The 19127-nt window shown below is 44.7% G+C and overlaps 1 protein-coding gene across 4 annotated transcripts, besides 6 other annotated features; it reads right to left on the bottom strand.

The window, feature by feature from the left end:
* Nucleotides 1-1549: 1549 nt before the first annotated feature.
* On the bottom strand, nucleotides 1550-18156 carry CCDC117 (coiled-coil domain containing 117). 4 transcript variants are annotated; one of them, NM_001284265.1, is made up of 5 exons: nucleotides 17628-17714; nucleotides 17073-17126; nucleotides 9679-9903; nucleotides 7206-7343; nucleotides 1550-4762 (listed from the first exon to the last, which is right to left on the bottom strand). In NM_001284265.1, exons 3-5 carry the CDS (start codon nucleotides 9744-9746, stop codon nucleotides 4525-4527), a joined length of 444 nt encoding a protein of 147 aa, NP_001271194.1. In that variant the 5' UTR covers nucleotides 9747-9903; nucleotides 17073-17126; nucleotides 17628-17714; the 3' UTR covers nucleotides 1550-4524. The 4 variants fall into 4 exon arrangements, with proteins under 4 accessions (NP_001271194.1, NP_775781.1, NP_001271193.1 ...); NM_173510.4 differs by lacking the exon at nucleotides 17628-17714 and adding an exon at nucleotides 17817-18156 and having other exon boundaries at nucleotides 1556-4762; NM_001284264.2 differs by lacking the exons at nucleotides 9679-9903; nucleotides 17628-17714 and adding an exon at nucleotides 17817-18156 and having other exon boundaries at nucleotides 1556-4762.
* Nucleotides 8128-8628: an enhancer, noted in NCBI's record as "H3K4me1 hESC enhancer chr22:29178211-29178711 (GRCh37/hg19 assembly coordinates)". NCBI's record gives its function as "activates a minimal SCP1, AML or CMV promoter by ChIP-STARR-seq in naive H9 embryonic stem cells {active_cell/tissue: H9 hESC(naive)}" and the evidence as "EXISTENCE:reporter gene assay evidence [ECO:0000049][PMID:30033119]".
* Nucleotides 8629-9129: an enhancer, noted in NCBI's record as "H3K4me1 hESC enhancer chr22:29177710-29178210 (GRCh37/hg19 assembly coordinates)". NCBI's record gives its function as "activates a minimal SCP1, AML or CMV promoter by ChIP-STARR-seq in naive H9 embryonic stem cells {active_cell/tissue: H9 hESC(naive)}" and the evidence as "EXISTENCE:reporter gene assay evidence [ECO:0000049][PMID:30033119]".
* Nucleotides 17744-18043: a silencer, noted in NCBI's record as "silent region_13580". NCBI's record gives its function as "represses an Ori minimal core promoter by ATAC-STARR-seq in GM12878 lymphoblastoid cells {active_cell/tissue: GM12878}" and the evidence as "EXISTENCE:reporter gene assay evidence [ECO:0000049][PMID:35858748]".
* Nucleotides 17744-18378: a biological region, named in NCBI's record as "H3K27ac hESC enhancer GRCh37_chr22:29168461-29168962".
* Nucleotides 17877-18378: an enhancer, noted in NCBI's record as "H3K27ac hESC enhancer chr22:29168461-29168962 (GRCh37/hg19 assembly coordinates)". NCBI's record gives its function as "activates a minimal SCP1, AML or CMV promoter by ChIP-STARR-seq in primed H9 embryonic stem cells {active_cell/tissue: H9 hESC(primed)}" and the evidence as "EXISTENCE:reporter gene assay evidence [ECO:0000049][PMID:30033119]".
* Nucleotides 18114-18343: an enhancer, noted in NCBI's record as "active region_18807". NCBI's record gives its function as "activates an Ori minimal core promoter by ATAC-STARR-seq in GM12878 lymphoblastoid cells {active_cell/tissue: GM12878}" and the evidence as "EXISTENCE:reporter gene assay evidence [ECO:0000049][PMID:35858748]".

Here is a 19127-nt window from a genome sequence, read left to right as displayed (position 1 = left end):
ACCCGAGGAACAGGATGACACGATCTACTTAGGCTTTAGTTTCCAAACCTGTAATTAGATCATTTTTAGCTGTGATTTCCAAATTTTGATTAAAAACAAAACATCATGCAGCCGGGCACAGTGGCTCACACCTGTAATCCTAGCACTTTGGGGGGCTGAGGTGGGTGGATCACAAGGTCAGGAGTTCGAGACCAGCCTGGCCAATATGGTGAAACCGTCTCTACTAAAAATACAAAAATTAGCTGGGCGTGGTGGCACATGCCGGTAGTCGCAGCTACTCAGGAAGCTGAGGCAGGAGAATCGCCTGAACCCAGGAGGCAGAGGTTGCAGTGAACCGAGATTGTGCCACTGCACTCCAGCCTGGGCAACAGAGGGAAGACTCCATCTCAAAAAAAAACCCACCATGCTTTGCTTTTTGTAGTTGTATCCCAAACTTAACTCCTCCTGCCCACCAAATCAGGAATGCATTTATCAAAGAATGTAAATATGCAGGCAATACTGCCACCCAGTGACCTGTCAAGTCTTAAAGGAAACGGCTGGGCATGGTGGCTCACACCTGTAATCCCAGCACTTTGGGAGGCCGAGGCAAGCAGATCATCTGAGGTTAGGAGTTCGAGACCAGCCTGACAAACACGGAGAAACTCCATCTCTACTAATAGTACAAGAAAAATTAGCTGGGCATGGTGGTTCGCGCCTACAGTCTCAGCTACTCAGGAGGCTGAGGCAGTAGAATCGCTTGAACCTGGGTGGCGGAGGTTGCAGCGAGCTGATATTGCACCACTGCACTCCAGCCTGGCGAAACAGCGAGACTCCGTCTCAAAAACAACAACAACAACAACAAAAAACCCACAAAAATTAGCCAGGTGTGGTGGCGCATGCCTGTAATCCCAGCTACTCAGGAGGCTGAGGCACGAGAATTGCTTGAATCCGGGAGGCAGAGGTTGCAGTGAGCCAAGATCACGCCATTGCACTCCAGCCGGGGCAACAAGCAAAACTCCGTCTCACACGCAAAAAAAGAAAACACCATGTAAGTGAACATCACTGGGTTTTCCATTCCCCATTTTCAAAGATCCTCAACCCCCTCTCTATGAACTCTGTATGCCACTTCCAACTCTACATTTGAATATATATATATATACTTTTTTTTTTTTTTTAAGAGAAAAGGTCTTGCTAATATTGTCCAGGCTGGTCTCTCCTCAGCTTAAGTGATCCTCCTGCCTCAGTCTCACAAAGTGCTGGCACAGGTGTGCACCATCGTACCTAGCCCATTTTAACATTTTTGAATACACAGTTACCACTGCCATCTAAATACTAACAATAGCAGTGAACTGCTCTGAGTGGAAAGCAGTCTATGGGTTTTAGAATAGCAACACATGGCCTGCCTATTGTGGGAACAGCTAATTCAAATATGATACTTAGCTTTATCCCAACATAATCATCCCTTCAGGATAAATTTAAGTCCTTCACTGATATGAATGCTGCTTCAACTACAATTCAGAGGAAAGGAGATATCTGATTTCATTATTTAAGTGGAGTAATACAAATATCTCAAAAGTCCAAAACACTTAAGAAGTTTTATTGAAAACGATAAAATACAGTAACACCAGATTCTCATTTTAAAGTAAAATTAACAGCATCTTCCAGAACATTCCTAGAACTGAACCATTCTTGTCACTATTGAAAAACAAAGCCAAGTTCCAAATCCAAAATAATAAATGAACGTGCTGATAAACATTCTTCTTATGGTTCCAGCCCCTACTTTAGTTATTTTCCTAAATTTTACATGTGTACCTTTTCAAGAAAGAGTAAGTTTTTTAAGTGATCAATATTTATGAGAACTGGACTTTCTTCATATAATTACAAAAAAAAAAAAAAAACCCAAAAAACAAAATCCACAACGCACCCTACTCAAACTCAGATAAAATACACATTTGTTCATTAAAGCTCACCTGCTTTAGAGAATTTTTTCTCTTCACACATTAGCACAGTAAGCCAATGTTTGATCCATGCTGCAAAAGCTACACAAAACGAAAAGCCCTGGTAACTCCCTAGGGAACTCTTAAGGCAAAGCAAAAGCAAAAACCTTATGCTACAAAAGTAAAACAAAAAGCAGAGGCATTGGGACTGTGGAGACGGCTCAGATGAATAAGCACCACAAGGATGAAGAAAACAATTTTTGTAGAAATTTTTGCAAGAAGATAAAGTCCAAAAAAGAACATAAAACATCAATTATCCTGCAGAAATAATTATCATGTCAGGTAACTTGACTACTGAAATAAGCTCTGTTTGGATTTTAATTAACAGATTCTTAATTCTCTCCTACATTTACCAGTAGTATCAGAGCCTTGTGTTGGGGGCTTGTTTCTTCCTTTTCATCATAAGACCTTTAGTCGGAGACCTGCCCAGCAATTCCTGTAGAAGACAATCTTGGTGTGTTTTAGGTCCTTCTTTGGAAAGCTGTCATCTCCCTTTCCACCTAAACACTAACTCTACCTCTGGGCAGTCACTTCATGTTTTTGTGTTGCATTAGAACACATTTTTCAGCATGGAGATTTATTTAAGGCTCATACTTTACAAGTTGGTCCCATCAAACAATGACTACAAGGCAGAAGTTTATCAAATGGCATGAATCAAACACTTGCACATTTCAAAAGAATACAGTTTACATTCATCTCGAAATCTGAGATTAAGAAACTATTAGCTGGTTTCCAACTGCTTTCAATACTGGTTTGAAGTTTGAATAATTTTACTGTATAGACATTAAATATTTTGTTTAAATATTAAACATTAAATCTTTTCCTGACTATCCAGACAGAAAGAGAAAGCAGGAACAGGCAAAGAAGCAACAGTCCAATTAACAGACTTGTGACTTCTACGCCATCTGTAACAAGGGGAGGGATTTCAGTAAGGGTTCCAAAAACGCCTAGAAGGTGGTTTCTAAAAATTCACCTTTACGTGGCATAAGCCATTTTTTTCTACAAAAGGTATCTGATTCCTACAAAGGGGGAAGAAACCCAGAAAACAAAACTGGGGTGGTGTCCTGTTGTGTGATGGAAGGGCATTATACCATTACACTCGTTTAATAACTTATAGAGGATACTCTGTAGCAATAAAGAAATTGTCATTTTATTTTGCCCTATCAGCCCCTGCCACATAGAAGAGCTCTTCCTGAGAAACTAAAAATTTCAAACCTGGCTATCCTCAAAGGACACCTGAAGCCTGGTTTGGGTACTCAAGAAGATGAAGGCTTCCTGCTAGCAGGAAGCAATTCTCCACTACCTTTTAGGTTTACTGCACAATAGTCTAAGCACCAGTCAAATTGGCTATTTCAGTAAACCTCAATGTCACCTGCTCATATATTTTCAGCTAATCCTTCACTGTTTTCTATATTAACATTTAAAAACAACTTGCTGGCTGCGTGCCGTGGCTCACGCCTGTAATCCCAGCATTTTGGGAGGCTGGGGTGGGCAGATCACCTGAGGTCAGGAGTTCGAGACCAGCCTGGCCAACATGGCAAAACCGGTCTCTATTAAAAATACAAAAATTAGCTGGGCGTGGAGGTGGGCACCTGTAATCCCAGCTACTTGGGAGGGTGAGGCAGGAGAATTGCTTGAACCCGGGAGATGGAGGTTGCGGTGGGGGAAAAAAAAAAAAACTTGCTAATACAAGTATAACTTTTTAAAAAAATTACCAAAGTTATCAATGTTGGGTTTAGCTGATAAAGCACTTCCTTAAGATGAACTAAAGGATGCTTCTCCCACAGGCAAATTGCAGATGGGTTACCTCATAATCTTTTAACTATCAAAGTCAATTAATTTGTAAACATTACTGAATAACTGGGCTTATCAATTACGCAAGGGAAACCAAGGAGCAACAGTGGCACAAGGCAAAAAAGCCTTAAAGAAAAAACTTTCTCTATATTTTCATAGTCAAAGAGGAGAGCCACAATACTATCGGCTATTTAATCAACAGAGCTATATTGAATTGATAACTAAATTACAAGTTGCTAAGAAATTAAATTTCTTAGCAACAGGCTTAAGCTACTGCTGCTCTCTTCCCTTCTTCTCCCCAATTATATATAGTCACCACTGTAAACAGCTCATATCTACACATTAAGCTGTGACTTAACTGTCAGGATACAGTTGTAGGAGCATCCTTCTTAATCATCTTTTTTAATTCAAGGAGAATATTCTCCAAGTGTCTGAATAGTTTAGACAATGTGACATATGATTTAAGTCACCCTTACACATACAGCTTCTATACTTGTCTTTGAAGACAATGTAAACCAACATTCCTTTAATAAGCCCCACAGAAAACTGCTTTTCCCTTGAGACAAACGTCCTTGGCAAAAAGGTGAAGTCAATAAATGGCTACCCAAAATAAGAGTCCCACCCCCAAATCACAGGTGGAGATATTATTACACCCGTCTCATAAAACTTTCAAGTCCCTATACTATGCAAAGAGTCTCATAACTGAACACAGGATTCTTCTAACATTTGACAACTTTAGTGTAGAAATTGGTTTCTAGAGTTCCATCTCTTCTTCTGTGCTAGTAGCTGTCTCCAAACTATTATAAAGAGACATCCCTGTTGGCCGAGGTTCCGAAAACAGTTCAGTTCTCTGAGGGAAGGCAGTGCCAGCAGCTACATGCTTAGCTTGGCTCTCTCCTGTATAGTTCTTAGTATTAGAGGATGGCTTTGGCTTATCAGAAAGGAGTTCAGGGAGGGGTTTCCAGAGAACAAGCTCCATGGAAGGACGGCTCCTAAGACATAAAATACAGACTTTTATCAAAAAATTTTAGGACATGAAAACAAAAGCTGTAGGTTGAAAAGCCAACATTACCTAGTATCTTAAGGACTGATGATAGCAAAACAGGAGATTTAGAACACACAAACTGATCTTTACTTTCTTTTTTTTTTTTTTTTTAAGAGATGGGGTCTTGCTGTGTTGTCCACAGTGGAGTACAGTGGTACAGTCATAGCTCACCGCAGCCTTTAACTCCTGGGGTCAAGCAATCTACCCACTTCAGCCTTCCCAGTAATTAGGACTACAGGCACATACCACCATGCCTGGCTCCAACTGATCTTTAGAAAGGCCCCTCAAATACATAACATTGCACACTTCAACATGTATATTTAACCAAATCAAGTGGTTGTAATGATGCTGTGATTGGAAGTATTTAAAAATCCAATATGAAAACGCAGAGCCCTTGATTGTTGGAAATTTTTTTAAGTTGTGGTTAATATTACATGTAGGCAGCTAGCTCATACTAAATCATTATAAATGAAAAGGAAACACTGGACAAACATGCTGAAAGTATCTCAGATGCCTTTTAGTATAGGTACAAAGTATAATGCTTTATGGGCCAGGCACAGTGGCTCATGCCTGTAATCCTAGCACTTTGGGAGGCCAAGCCAGGCAGATGGTTTGAGCCCAGGAGTTTGCAACCAGCCCGGGCAATGTGGTGAACCCCGTCTCTACAAAAAATACAAAAATTAGCTGGGTGTGGTAGCAGGTGACTGTAGTCCCAGCTACTCGGGAGGCTGAGGTGGGAGTATCACCTGAGCCCAGGAGGTCAAGGCTGTGGTGAGCTGTGATCATGCCACTACACTCCAGCCTGGGTGACAGAGTGAGACCCTGTCTCAAAACACAAAACAAAACAAAACAAAACAAGCTTCATGGTTAAGGCAAAATGACTATGTTACACACACACTGTGGCAGGGATGGTGTATGGGCCCAAAGACGAAGCAAAAATAAAACATAAAATAATGAGATACCCTTGGCTGGGCGCGGTGGCTCACGCCTGTAATCCCAGCACTTTGGGAGGCCGAAGAGGGTGGATCACAAGGTCAGGAGATCGAGACCATCCTGGCTAACATGGTGAAAACTCCAACTCTACTAAAAATACAAAAAACTAGCCGGGCAAGGTGGCAGGCGCCTGTAGTCCCAGCTACTCGGGAGGCTGAGCAGGAGAATGGCGTGAACCCGGGAGGCGGAGCTTGCAGTGAGCCAAGATCAGGCCACTGCACTCCAGCCTGGGCAACAGAGCGAGACTCCATCTCAACAACAACAACAACAAAAAAAACGAGATACCCTCAAAGGCTAGCTTCTGGAAAACTACCAAAAGCAGAAAGTGCTATATTTTAGGCTGGAGGGCAACGTGACCAGCTTACTTCTGGCTATTTACCCACCCTTAGGGATGGGTACTTAATTATAAGCTCAAGATAGGACCCTAATGCAAAACCTCTGTGATCAAAGACCAAATAGCAGCTGAACTTCTAGCACAAATCATCTCCACTGTATCCAAAGGTAATAATGCCTCACCTATCTGCCCTCACTGACTGGTGTCCTAAGAGGCTTTTTCAGATACCTGAAACTTGCCCTTATTGAGTGCCAACTCGATCTAAAGTCTTTCCTAGGCACTTTATAACTAACTTCCTTACTATTTTACATAGTGAATAATGACAATTTGAGATCACGGAGGCTTCACGGACTACAGGATTAGAGCTGGGCTAATCATTACTCAGGGGCCCCAGGCCACTTTACTTTTTAGGTTATTGTGTTTGCTTTCCAGTTTCCTCTCTTGTCCTCACAGTGTAGTCACAGCTCCCTGTTAGGAGTTTTGTTTGTTCTGCTCTCATTTGCTGTTTCTGCTTCTACTCTGATGATCTAGGAAACCAGATAACTGAGCTCATAAACTGTGTTTAGATTAAGAGCAAAACAGTTCTGCTAAAGGCCTGGAAGGACTATGCTATGAGCCAAGAATATGAGCTTTGTTTTGCAGTCTTTGCAGCAACTGCTTTCACTGTTGGGCCACTTTATTTTTTTTCCTAGGCCGCAGTGTTGTTCCTGGGTCACTTAGAAAGCCAGGTAAACAAGAGCCTTTAAAATGTGGTTCCTGTATCACAGGAACTTGAGAGTGGGCTCTCTTGCCAGTCATCTCATTTCCAAATAGCAGACTGCAGTCCATTTCAGGTCTTCAAAGGAACCAAAGAGTAAGTAGGCAAGGCAGCCACTTCCCCATACTTCAAACTCCTGCTTGTAAAGCACTTTGCTCACCCCTAATGAACTAGGAAAAAGCCAATCTCCAATTGCCTGGGGATCAGGAGATAAAAAGAGCTAATGAGGACAGGGTGGGCAGAATCTAGACATTGGGTCTTCCCTCCAAGATCATAATTAAATAGAAATCAGGTACCAAAACTTACATAGACTCAATCATTTTCTTTGTAAAAACTTCATCAAATTCCCTCTTCAAACCTGTTTTCATGGTATCAGAAAGGACAAGACTGGGGAGATGGTTAACATTTCTGTCAGCTTCAACTTCTTCATCTTCATCAATTATCCTAAATCAATTAAGGCAGCAGAAGAAAGAAAAAATATTTAGTCAAGCTATTATATATTCTAGTATTTGGACAAAATTTTAAAAATAAAAAAGGATAAAAGCAGTAAGTAATACAGCAATAGAACAAGCAAAAAATGAGGCTATACCTGAGTATAAAAGGTATACTCAGGCCGGGTGTGGTGGCTCACACCTGTAATCCCAGCACTTTGGGAGGCCGAGGCGGGCAGATCACCTGAGGTTAGGAGTTCGAGAAGAGCCTGGCCAACATGGTGAAACCCTATCTCTACTAAAAATAGAAAAATTTGTCGGGTGTGGTGACACATGCCTGTAATCCGGCTACTCAGGAGGCTGAGGCAGGAGAATCACTTGAACCCGGGAGGCGGAGGTTGCAGTGAACCAAGATCGTGCCATTGCACACCAGCGTGGGCAACAGAGCAAGACTCCGTCTCAAAACAAAAAAAAACTATACTCAGAGGGTTGTTCAACATTTCATTTAACGAAAAAGTTTTACATATAATCAAATCTGAATAATATTTCAGAGAATTATCACATAAACCAAAATTAATACTCAGAGGCAGTAAGTGAAAACGCTCAGTAGTTCTATGAGAAGAATTCACTTTAAAAGCACATACTTCGGGGCCGGGCGTGGTGGCTCACACTTGTAATCCCAGTACTTAAGGAGGCTGAGATAGGCAGATCACCTGAGGCCAGAAGCTCCAGACCAGCCTGGCCAACATCACAAAACCCTGTCTCTACTAAATATACAAAAAAAGGCCGGGTGCAATGGCTCATGCCTGTAATCCCAGCCCTCTGGGAGGCAGAGGCAGGCGGACCACAAGGTCCGGAGTTCGAGACCAGCCTGGCCAACGTGGTGAAACCCCATCTTTACTAAAAATACAAAAATTAGCCAGGTGTGATGGCAGGCACCTGCAATCCCAGCTACTCAGGAGATTGAGGCAGGAGAATCGCCTGAACCCGGGAGGTGGAGATTGCAATGAGCTGAGATCGCACCACTGCACTCCAGCCTGAGCAACAGAGCGAGACTCTGTCTCCAAAAATAAAAATAAAAATACAAAAAAAAATTTGGCCAGGTGCGGTGGCAGACACTTGTAATCCCAGCTACTCAGGAGGCTGAGGCAAGTGAATTGCTTGAACCTGGGAGGCGGAGGTTGCAGTGAGCGCCGAGTTCACACCATTGTACTCCAGCCTGGGTGACAGAGCAACACTGTTTCAAAAAAAAAAAAAAAAAAAAAAAAAAGGCTCAGTAGACTGGCCCGGCACAGTAGCTCATGCCTGTAATCCCAGCACTTTGGGATGCCGAGGCAGGCGGCTTGCTCGAGCCCAGGAATGCGTGACCAGCTTGGGCAACATGGCGAAATCCCGTCTCTACAAAAGATACGAAGATTAGCCAGGGGTGGTGGCACATGCCTGCAGTCCCAGCCACTTGGGAGGCTGAGGGGGGCAGATGGGTTGAGCCTGAAAGGTTAAGACTGCAGTGAGCCACTGCACTCCAACCTGGGTGACAAAGCAAGACCCTGTATCAATTTAAAAAAAAAAAAGGGGGGGGGCTGGGTGGTGTGGCTCACGCCTGTAATCCCAGCACTTTGGGAGGCCGAGACAGGGGGATCACCTGAGGTCATGTGTTCCAGACCAGCCTGACCAAAATGGAGAAACCCCATCTCTATTAAAAATACAAAATTAGCCAGGCGTGGTGGCGCATGCCTGTAATCCCAGCTACTTGGGAAGCTGGGGCAGGAGAATCACTTGAACCCGGGAGGTGGAGGTTGCATTGAGCCAAGATGGCACCACTGCACTCCAGCCTAGGTAACGAGCAAAACTCCATCTAAAAAACAAAACAGGCCGGGTGCGGTGGCTCACGCCTGTAATCCCAGCACTTTGGGAGGCCGAGGCGGGCGGATCACGAGGTCAAGAGATCGAGACCATCCCGGCTAAAACGGTGAAACCCCGTCTCTACTAAAAATACAAAAAAATTAGCCGGGCGTAGTGGCGGGCGCCTGTAGTCCCAGCTACTTGGGAGGCTGAGGCAGGAGAATGGCGTGAACCCGGGAGGCGGAGCTTGCAGTGAGCCGAGATCCCGCCACTGCACTCCAGCCTGGGCGACAGAGCGAGACTCCGTCTCAAAAAAAAAAAAAAAAAAAAAAAAAAAAAAAAACAAAACAAAAAAACAAAAACGAATACACTTTGAATTATCTGACTTAGTCTTTCTGAGAGGCTAAGGATCAAGGTATCACCAAATGATAAACAGAACTAGCTTATATGAGCAGAGTTATTACAAGAGAACAGCAAAAAACCAGCTATATACACTGCCCATTTACCTGTCCTCAATCTCCTGAAGCTTCCTTCGGGCAACTTCACACTGTGGTTCTCCAGTTGTCTGATCCATTTCTTCACAAATAACATCTAATATCCCAGGTATGGAAAGGCCACTAACACTGGGATTTACTCCATGCCCCTCTACATCCTGATGTGCACAAAGAATCCAGTCATTAGGACCAGCACAGAGCTCTGCTTCAGTTATCCTTTTCTTTCTTACTGGACAACTGAAAAAAAGAAAAAAAATTCAATGAAAATCCCAACTAATATAAATGAAATGTTTATCATTCCTATCTCCAATCAAGTTTTTGTATTTAAAAAACTAGCTTTTTTGACAAGTGTGTAGTAACAAGATGGAAAATACTGCGTATTTTTCCTGCTATTCTCACAGCCACACTAAACTGTTTTCTTCTACTGCTCTTTGCCAAATAAAGATGCACCTGTAAGATTCTGCCTGTTCAGACAGTAAGTGTTCAATGTGGGACCTTAAAGTCATTCCTGCTTATTTGGCTCTGGAAAGGTCAAGTGGGAAGTAAAGAAACCAAAAGTTGGCTAGGTGTGGTGGCTCACACCTGTAATACCAGCACTTGGAATGGCTGAGGTGGGAAGATCACTTGAGCCCAGAGTTCAAGACCAGCTTGGGCAACATAGTGAGACGCTAATTCAAACCATGAATGAATGAATGAATGAATGAAAAAAAGAAACCAAAAGTCAGCAATTCAGCATCATATTTAGTCATACTGCTACTGCTCCATCAAACATATAGGAAGATGGTCTGGCAGCCATTCTATATTCCCTTAGGGCAAAAACATGTCTCATGAGGTTTGTTCAAAGTATTAATATTACAGGTGTGGGTGACAGCATTAATTTCTTGGTCCCCTTCAAAATGTCAGAGGCTCTATCAGTGTCCAACCAATAGTGGGGTCCAATTTTCTCCCACTTTGCAACATAATGTCTTCACATCCTGAACAAATTTGTATTTCATAGAAACTTTAGAATTCATCAAATCCATTTTTTTTTATTTGGAAACTAGGACCTAGAAAAACTAACCCGGCTTCTCCAAAGTGTCACCGTAAAGTAGTGAGTTTATCTTGAGGACCAGACACAAGAGCTGCTGAATCATATCTCCATGCCATTTTTACTAACTCCCTGTACCTTCTTAGGGAGGTTCAACTGTTCAAGTGCTTACCACCAAGTAGTATTTGCAAGCACTACGATATACCCAGTGTTTAGCTGAAAGCTGTCTGAAGCAAGCTGAATAGTCAATCGGCCCTGTTCTATTATGTACGTAGACCAAAAGTACTTTATTGCCTGGGCATCAGCAAGTACAGTCTCAAGGCCAGAATACAGCTTTATAACCAAAAAAAATCATTAATGGCTACCACAGCCTCTGATTCTTTAAACTGAGGGCCAAAGAAGAGGCATGTATTTTACAAAAAGAAATTTCTATTCCATGTTAAGACTGTGAAAACCAACATTAAAGTCTCTGGCAATATAAAATCTGACAAGTAACAGATCTCTCAAACCTAGATTTTTTTTAATGCAGTCAACTATTAAACAAAATGTTTGGTTTATAATTAGTTTTAACTCCTAAGAAAGCATTAAGAATGTTCAGCTATATCTAACATTTCTGTCATATTTCAATAGTTTTAAAATATGGGATATTTTAGGCCGGACACGGTAGTTCATGCCTGTAATCCCAGCACTTTGGGAGGCCGAGGCAGGTGGATCACTTGAGGGCAAGAGTTTGAGATGAGCCTGGCCAACATGGTGAAACCCCGTCTCCACTAAAAATACAAAAAAAAAAAGCTGGGCGCAGTGGCACGCACCTTTAATCCCAGCTACTAGGAAGGCCAAGGCAGGAGAATCGCTTGAACCCAGGAGGGGGGAGGTTGCAGTGAGCCAAGATTGCGTCACTGCACTCCAGCCTGGGCGACAGACCAAGGCTCCGTCTCAAAAATAAATAAATAAATAAATAAAGTATGTGATATTTTGAAAAGCAGAAAATAGTTATACTTACAAAAAACAGCTAAGAAAAAGCAGAATAAGGCGAGTGTCGTGGTGTGTGCCTACAGTTCCAGCTACTTGGGAGGCTGAGGGAGGAGATCACTTGAGCCCAGTGTTTGAGACCAGCCTGAGCAACACAGTGAGAGTCCACATCCCCAAAAAGCAAAATAAATCTAAAGGGAACAGGTAATTTCCCCACACATCTAATAATTCCACTATAAAATGCAAATAAAGTTTAACACCTGGGTTCTGCGCTCTGACCTCCAACAACATGATTTAGACTAAGTTATTTCATGCCTGTAGGTCCACTTTCTAAATAGAGATCACTGATAATTAAGTCCCAAAGATAATATGATAGCACGCTTCTGGGCATTAGACATCCAAAGATCTCATCCCACTGCCTCCCAAGGCCTCAACTTCTCCATTTGTAAATTAAAGATGGTTAACTTTTTAAGCCGATAGTTTCTATACTTTAAACTTTTTATTTATTTATTTTAGCATCTATAATAACATCTTAAGAGAGAACCGCAAAAGATAAAAGCAAAAAGTTTCCTGTGTTATCCACAGTAATCCTAAGGCAATAAAGAACATAAATATTTTCTGTTCAGTGGGCCTCACTGCAACCTCCGTCTCCTGGGTTCAAGCAATTCTCCCGCCTCAGCCCCCCGAGTAGCTGGGACTACAGGTGCGCACCACCACGCCCGGCTGACTTTTGTATTTTTAAGAGAGAAGAGGTTTCACCATGTTGGCCAGGCTGGTCTCAAACTACTGATCTGAGGTGATCTGCCTGCCTCGGCCTCCCAAAGTGCTAGGATTACAGGCATGAGCCACCGCACCCGACCTAGTGATTTTTAAATTAAGGGAACTTTCAAATTTAATGTTTTATGAATCTATGTATCAACAAGTTTAGAAAATCCAAAGTGTCCAATGGCAAAAAGAATCATACACAAAGTTAAAAGACAAAGGATAAATTTGAAGAAAACATTCCTTAATAAAGATTTCCTGGCAGGACGTGGTGGCTCACGACTATAATCCCAGCACTTTGGGAGGCCGAGGCCACTTTGGGAGGCCGAGGCGGGCGGATCACAAGGTCAGGAGATAGAGACCATCCTGGCTAACAGGGTGAAACCCTGCCTTTACTAACAATGCAAAAAATTTGCCGGGCGTGGTGGCACGCACCTGTAATCCCAGCTACTCGGGAGGCTGAGAGAATTGCTTGAACCCAGGAAGCAGAGGTTGCAGTGAACCCTGATCGTGCGACTGTACTGCAACCTGGGCAACAGAGCGAGGATACATCTCAAAAAAAAAAAAAAATTCCTATAAGAAAAAGATCAATAAGCCAATAGAAAATTTGCATAAACAGCCAGGAGCAGTGGCTCACGCCTGTAATCCAGAGCTTTGGGAGGCTGAGGCGGGTGGATCATGAGGTCAAGGAATCAAGACCATCCTGACTAACATGGTGAAACCCCATCTCTACTAAAAATATAAAAATTAGCTGGGCCTGGAGGTGCAAGCCTGTGGTCCCAGCAACTCGCGAGGCTGAGGCAGGAGAATCGCTTGAGCCCAGGAGGTGGAGGTTAAAGTGAGTCAAGATGGTGCCACTGCACTCCAGCCTGGTGGCAGAGCAAGAGTCCATCTCAAAAAAAAAAAGAAAAAAAAAAAGAAAAGATGTCCAGTATCACTTATAATTAACAAATATAAATTAAATCACAATCTAAACTTCTTTAACCTTTTTAACTATAAAATTCTACAAACATAAAATTACATCAAACATACAGCTTAACAAATAATTACAAAACAAACAATGATGACAATATAATTTAAGATATAGAATAGGCCAGGCGCAGTGGCTCACAACTGTAATTCCAGCACTTTGGGAGGCCAGGGCCAGCGGGCGAGCGAATCACAAGGTCAGGAGATTGAGACCATCCTGGCTAACATGGTGAAACCCCGTCTGTACCAAAGATACAAAAAATTATCACACGCCTGTAGTCCCAGCTACATGGGAGGCTGAGGCAGGAGAATCACTTGAACACGGGAGGCAGAGGTTGTGCCGAGGGAGCCGAGATTGCGCCACTGCACTCCAGCCTGGACAACAGAGCAAGATGCCATCTCAAAAAAAAAAAAAAAAAACAGCTACAGTATACTGGCCAGGCACAGTAGCTCACGCCTGTAATCCTAGCACTTTGGAAGGCCAAGGCGGGCAGATTACTTGAAGTCATGAGTTTTAGACCAGCCTGGCCAACATGGCACAACCATTTCTCTACTAAAAATACAAAAAATTGGTTGGGTGCGGTGGCTCACGCCTGTAATCCCAGCACTTTGGGAGGCCAAGGCGAGAGGATCATCCGAAGTCGGAAGTTCCAGACCAGCCTGACCAAAATGCAGAAACCCCATCTCTACTAAAAATGCAAAATTAGCCAAGCATGGAGGCACATGCCTGTAATCCCAGCTATTCAGGAGGCTGAGGCAGGAGAACTGCTTGAAGCTGGGAGGGAGAGGTTGTGCTGAGCTGAGATTGCACCATTGCGCTCCAGCCTGGGCAACAAGAGCGAAACTCCGTCTCAAAAAAAAAAAAAATTAGCTGGGCATGGTGGCACGCGCCTGTAATCCCAGCTACTTGGGAGGATGAGGCAGGAGAATCGCTTGAACCTGAGACAGAGGTGACAGTGAGCTGAGCCTGCGCTACTGCACTCCAGCCTGAGCAACAGAGCAAAACTCCAGGGAAAAAAAAAAAAAGAAAAGATATACAATACTGCCAGCATCCCAAAATGGTAATCTAATCTTGCTCTGTCACCTAGGATGGAGTGCAGTGGCACAATCTTGGCTCACTGTAACCTCTGCCTTCTCCTCGTGCCTCAGTCTCTGGAGTGGCTGGGATCACAGGGGCGCACCACCACACCAGCTATTTCTTTGTATTTAGTAGAGACAGGGTTTCACCATTTTGGCCAGGCTGGTCTTGAATTCCTGGGCTCAAGCAATCCACCCACCCTGGCCTCCCCAAGTGCTGGGATTACAGGCATGAGGCACCACACCGGATGCCAAATCAGGACTTTAATGTGGATGCCTAATGATCCTAATGGTCCCAATTTACACTCCTACCCATATTTAAGAGTTCCTGGTGCTTCACACGCATCCCAACATCTGGAGGTAGAGTGGCATCTCATTGTGGCTTTAATACACATTTCCCTAAAGACTAATGAGGTTGAACGCTTTTTTATTTGGTTGTTCATGGATATTATCTTTGGGAAACCTTTTTACTTTTCTTTTTTTGGGACAGTCTCACTTTGTCACCAAGGCTGGAGTGCGGTAGGACGATCTCGGCTCACTGCAACCTCTGCCGCCCAGGTTCAAACGATTCTCCTGCCTCAGCCTCCCGAGTAGCTGGGATTACAGACACCTGCCACCGCACCTGGCTAATTTTTGTATTTTTAGCAGAGACGGGGTTTCATCAAATTGGTCAGGCTGGTCTTGAACTCCTGACCTCGTGATCCACCTGCCTCGGCTTCCCAAAGTGCCGGGATTACAGGTGTGAGCCACCGCGCCTGGCCTTACTTCTTTTTCTATTAGACTGTTTATGAGATATAATTTTTCATCTATTAGTTGGGCAGCAATCCCGAAGTTTAAAAACACACTTGTGTTCAGAGGATGTTAATGGGCATATAAATTGGCAAAAACTCACGTTCAAAATTTAAAATGCACACACTTTAAGACCCAGCAATTCCACGTCAAGGAAATCATTCATATACTTCCAAACATATACAAAGAACTTCAAAAGAATGGTCAGGGTAGATTGTAATAGCAAAAGATTAGAAATAATTTAGAAATGCATCAATAGGAAATTGGTTAATTATCTACACCAAGTCCTACGATAGAATTCCACACAACTACTTTCTTTTGTTTTTTTGAGACGGAGTCTCACTCTACTGCCCAGGCTGGAGTGCAATGGCGCAATCTTGGCTCACTGCAACCTCCACCTCCCGGGTTCAAGTGATTCTCCTGCCTCAGCCTCCTGAGTAGCTGGCATTACAGTTACGCACCACTACCCATGGCTAATTTTTGTATTTTAATAGAGATGGGGTTTCACCATGCTGGCCAAGCTGGTCTCAAACTCCTGACCTCCTGATCTGCCCTTCTCAGCCTCCCAAAGTGCTGGGATTACAGGTGTGAGCCACCACGCCTGGCCTCCACTCAACTATTGAAAGAGAAATTACGTAAACCTCTCTCTATGTGCTGATATGCAACAAGCTACAGAAGAGTAAAATGAAAAGATCAATGTGTTGCACAGTGTGAACCATATCTTCCTACAAATGTAAAAACACAGCCACTGCACTCCAGCCTGACAGAATGAGGCCTTGTCTCAAAAAAGAAAAAAAGAAAGAAAAAGAAAAACACTTGTGAACTTGGTAAATTTTTAGATTATCTTCTAAAGGAGACAATGAAAACAGGTAAGGGGGTTGTCTCTGGTGGGGAAAACTAGGGGTGTGGAGTAAAAGATTTTGTAATACAGCCTGGGGGACGGTTCACACCTGTAATCCCAGAGTTGGGAGGACTGCTTGAGGCCAGAAGTTCATGACCAGACTGGGCAACATAGTGAGACACCATCTCTACAAAAAATTTTTTAAAAAATTAGCTGAGCCTGGTGGCACAAGTCTGTAGTCTCAGCTGTTCAGGAGGCTGAAGCTGAGGGATCATTTGAGCCCAAGGAGTTTGAGGCTGCAGTGAGCTGTGATCACACAACTGCACTCCAGCTTGGGTGACAGAGCCCCTGACTTTAAAAAAAAAAAAAAAAAAAAGACTTTTCAGGCCGGGGCGGCTCAGGCCTGTAATCTCAGCACTTTGGGAGGCTGAGGCGGGAGGATCATGAAGTCAGAAGATCAAGACCACCCTGGCTAACACAGTGAAACCCCGTCTCTACTAAAAAAAAAAAAAAATTGCCAGGCGTGGTGGCGGGCGCCTGTAGTCCCAGCTACTCGGGAGGCTGAGGCAGGAGAATGGCATGAAGCCGGGAGGCGGAGATTGCAGTGAGCCCACATAGCGCCACTGCACTCCAGCCTGGGCGACAGAGGCAGACTCCGTCCCAAAAAAAAAAAAAAACAAAAACAAAACTTTTCAATATGTATCCTTTAAATTATTTTACTTTGTGCATGTAATATTAACATGGCTCAAAATCCAAATATTACAACTTGTTATAGAGCGAAAAGTTTCCCTCTGACCTGTCTGCCTGCCACTGTTACTTTCTCTAAAAGACAACCAATGTCACTAATTTCTGTGTCTCTTTCCAGAGACACTCATCTAATGTTTCACCTTTTCACTTAAGTAATTTAGACTATAACAGGGGTTCAACTAACGGTGACCACAGAGTGAATAAACAACCACTGAAACTTACTCATCATCCTCCTCCTCCTCTCGCTTGTGTTTCTTTTTACAGTGAACAGAAACACTGTTGAAACAAACAAAAATCAGTCAATTAAGAAATGTACTCGAGCTTGTGGTTTCAGTATCCTCTTTCTTGCTCCAATAATCTTGCTCATCCCCACATACCAAACGTCCCTTTCTGAGCCTAGTGGGATGGGTACAAATCACAGGTCAGTCGGGTAACGGTGGATTGCCCCGACAGAACTGGACAGTGAAATCTCAACTTGTCCTTTTATCAACGTAATGGAAGACAGATTAGGGAGGACCAAACCAGGGAAACGTCCTCGGGGCAGGCGCTGTGTTAAGCACTTTATTTAAATAATCTCACTAAGAGGACCCATTTCTGTCCCATGCTTGGCATACTTTGCAGATGAGACACTGAAAGTTGTCACTAACAGCGGCCGCGCCGAGGGGGCACCCAGACCGAGTCGCCCAGGTTCCAACTGGGAAAGTCTCACTTCTCCGGGCCGCAGTCGAGCTGAGGTTCGGACCGGACTCCTGGGCTATGTGACCCCCGGCGACTTACAGTTAACGTCTCCGGGGATCAGTTTCTTCATCTGTAAACTGGGCTGCGAAGCTCCCGCGGAGGGCCGTGGGGAGGGAGTCAAAAAGCCCCGGCGCGGAGCCCGCGCCCCTGCCCGCGCCCGCCGCGAGGGGCGCCCAGCCTGCCCGCCCGCCCGCCCGCCCTGCGCCCTGCGCCCGACGGGCTCCTCACCGTCCGCGCGCCGCACTCCCAGCGGGACTGCTAGGGACTGCGCGAGGTCCCGGCCGCGGGGCCAACTCGGCGCCGTCAGCCCCCGGCGGGAAGGCCCGGCCGGGGAAGGCCGGCTGCGGCGGCTGCAGGAAGTCCGAGCCGCCGCTCAGAGGGAGGCCGCTGAAGGGCCGGCCGAGCGCAGCCATAGCCGGCGAGACGAGGAGGCTGCGACGGCGGCCTCGGCCGCCCGCGTCCCCAGGCCCGGCAGCCGCAGCCACAGCTACTGCCAAAACCCGCCAGCCTCGGATCCCGCTCTCGACCCCACGTCACGCCTTCTAGAACCCTCCACCTCAGGCCGCTCGGGGGCATGCCGGGATTTGTTGTGTGTAGAGGGCCGCTGCCGCGAGGGATGCCGGGATTTGCAGTCCTTCCGGACTACAAGCAAAATGGCTGCTTCTCGACCTCTTAGCTGGGGCTTAGGGTGTCTCTGGCTGGCCAAGAGTATGACCTAGGTTCAAATCCTCACTCCGCAAGTTTCGTATCTCAGTTTCCACAGTAGTAAAATGAGATAATAATAGTACATATAATCATAGAGTTGATGTGCGGAGTACATGAATTTAAACATCTAGAGCCAGGGCAGGGCGGTGGCTCACTCGTGTAATCCCAGCAATTTGGAAGGTGGAGGCGGGAGGATCTCTTGAGCCCGGGAGACCCTGTCTCAAAACAAAAACAATCTAGAGCCCTTAAAGCAGTGCCTGACATACAATACACGCTCATTATCAGTTATTCATATGTGACTCTATTAATAAAAATGTAACAATTTTAATACAAATGAAGTTGGTGGTGCCTTAGAACAGCATAGAAAATTAAGTAAAAACCTCAGCTGCTGGCTGGGGGCGGTGGCTCACGCCTGTAATCTTACCACTTTGGGAGGCCGAGGTGGGCGAATCACTTGAGGTCAGGAGTTCAAGACCAGCCTGGCCTACGTGGTGAAATCCCGTCTCTACCAAAAATATAAAAAATTAGCCAGGTGTGGTGGTGCGCGCCTGTAATCCCATGTACTCGGGAGGCTGAGGCAGGAGAATCGCTTGAACCCGGGAGGCGGAGGTTGCAGTGAGCCGCGATCGTGCCACTGCACTCCAGCCTGGGTGGCAGAGCGAGACTACGTCTCAAGAAACAAAACAAAACAAAAAAACACCTCAGTTGCGCGGCAAGGTGGCTCACGCCTGTGATCCCATCACTTTGGGAGGTCGGAGGTGGGAGGTGGGAGAATCGCTTGAGGCCAGGAGTCCATCCTAGGTCTAGCTTGACCCTATCTCAACAACAAAAAAA

This window comes from Homo sapiens, chromosome 22, assembly GCF_000001405.40.
Source record: "Homo sapiens chromosome 22, GRCh38.p14 Primary Assembly".
Lineage (NCBI taxonomy): Eukaryota > Metazoa > Chordata > Mammalia > Primates > Hominidae > Homo > Homo sapiens.
Note: the sequence above shows the minus strand (reverse complement) of the source record. Positions and strands in the feature narration are given on the sequence as shown.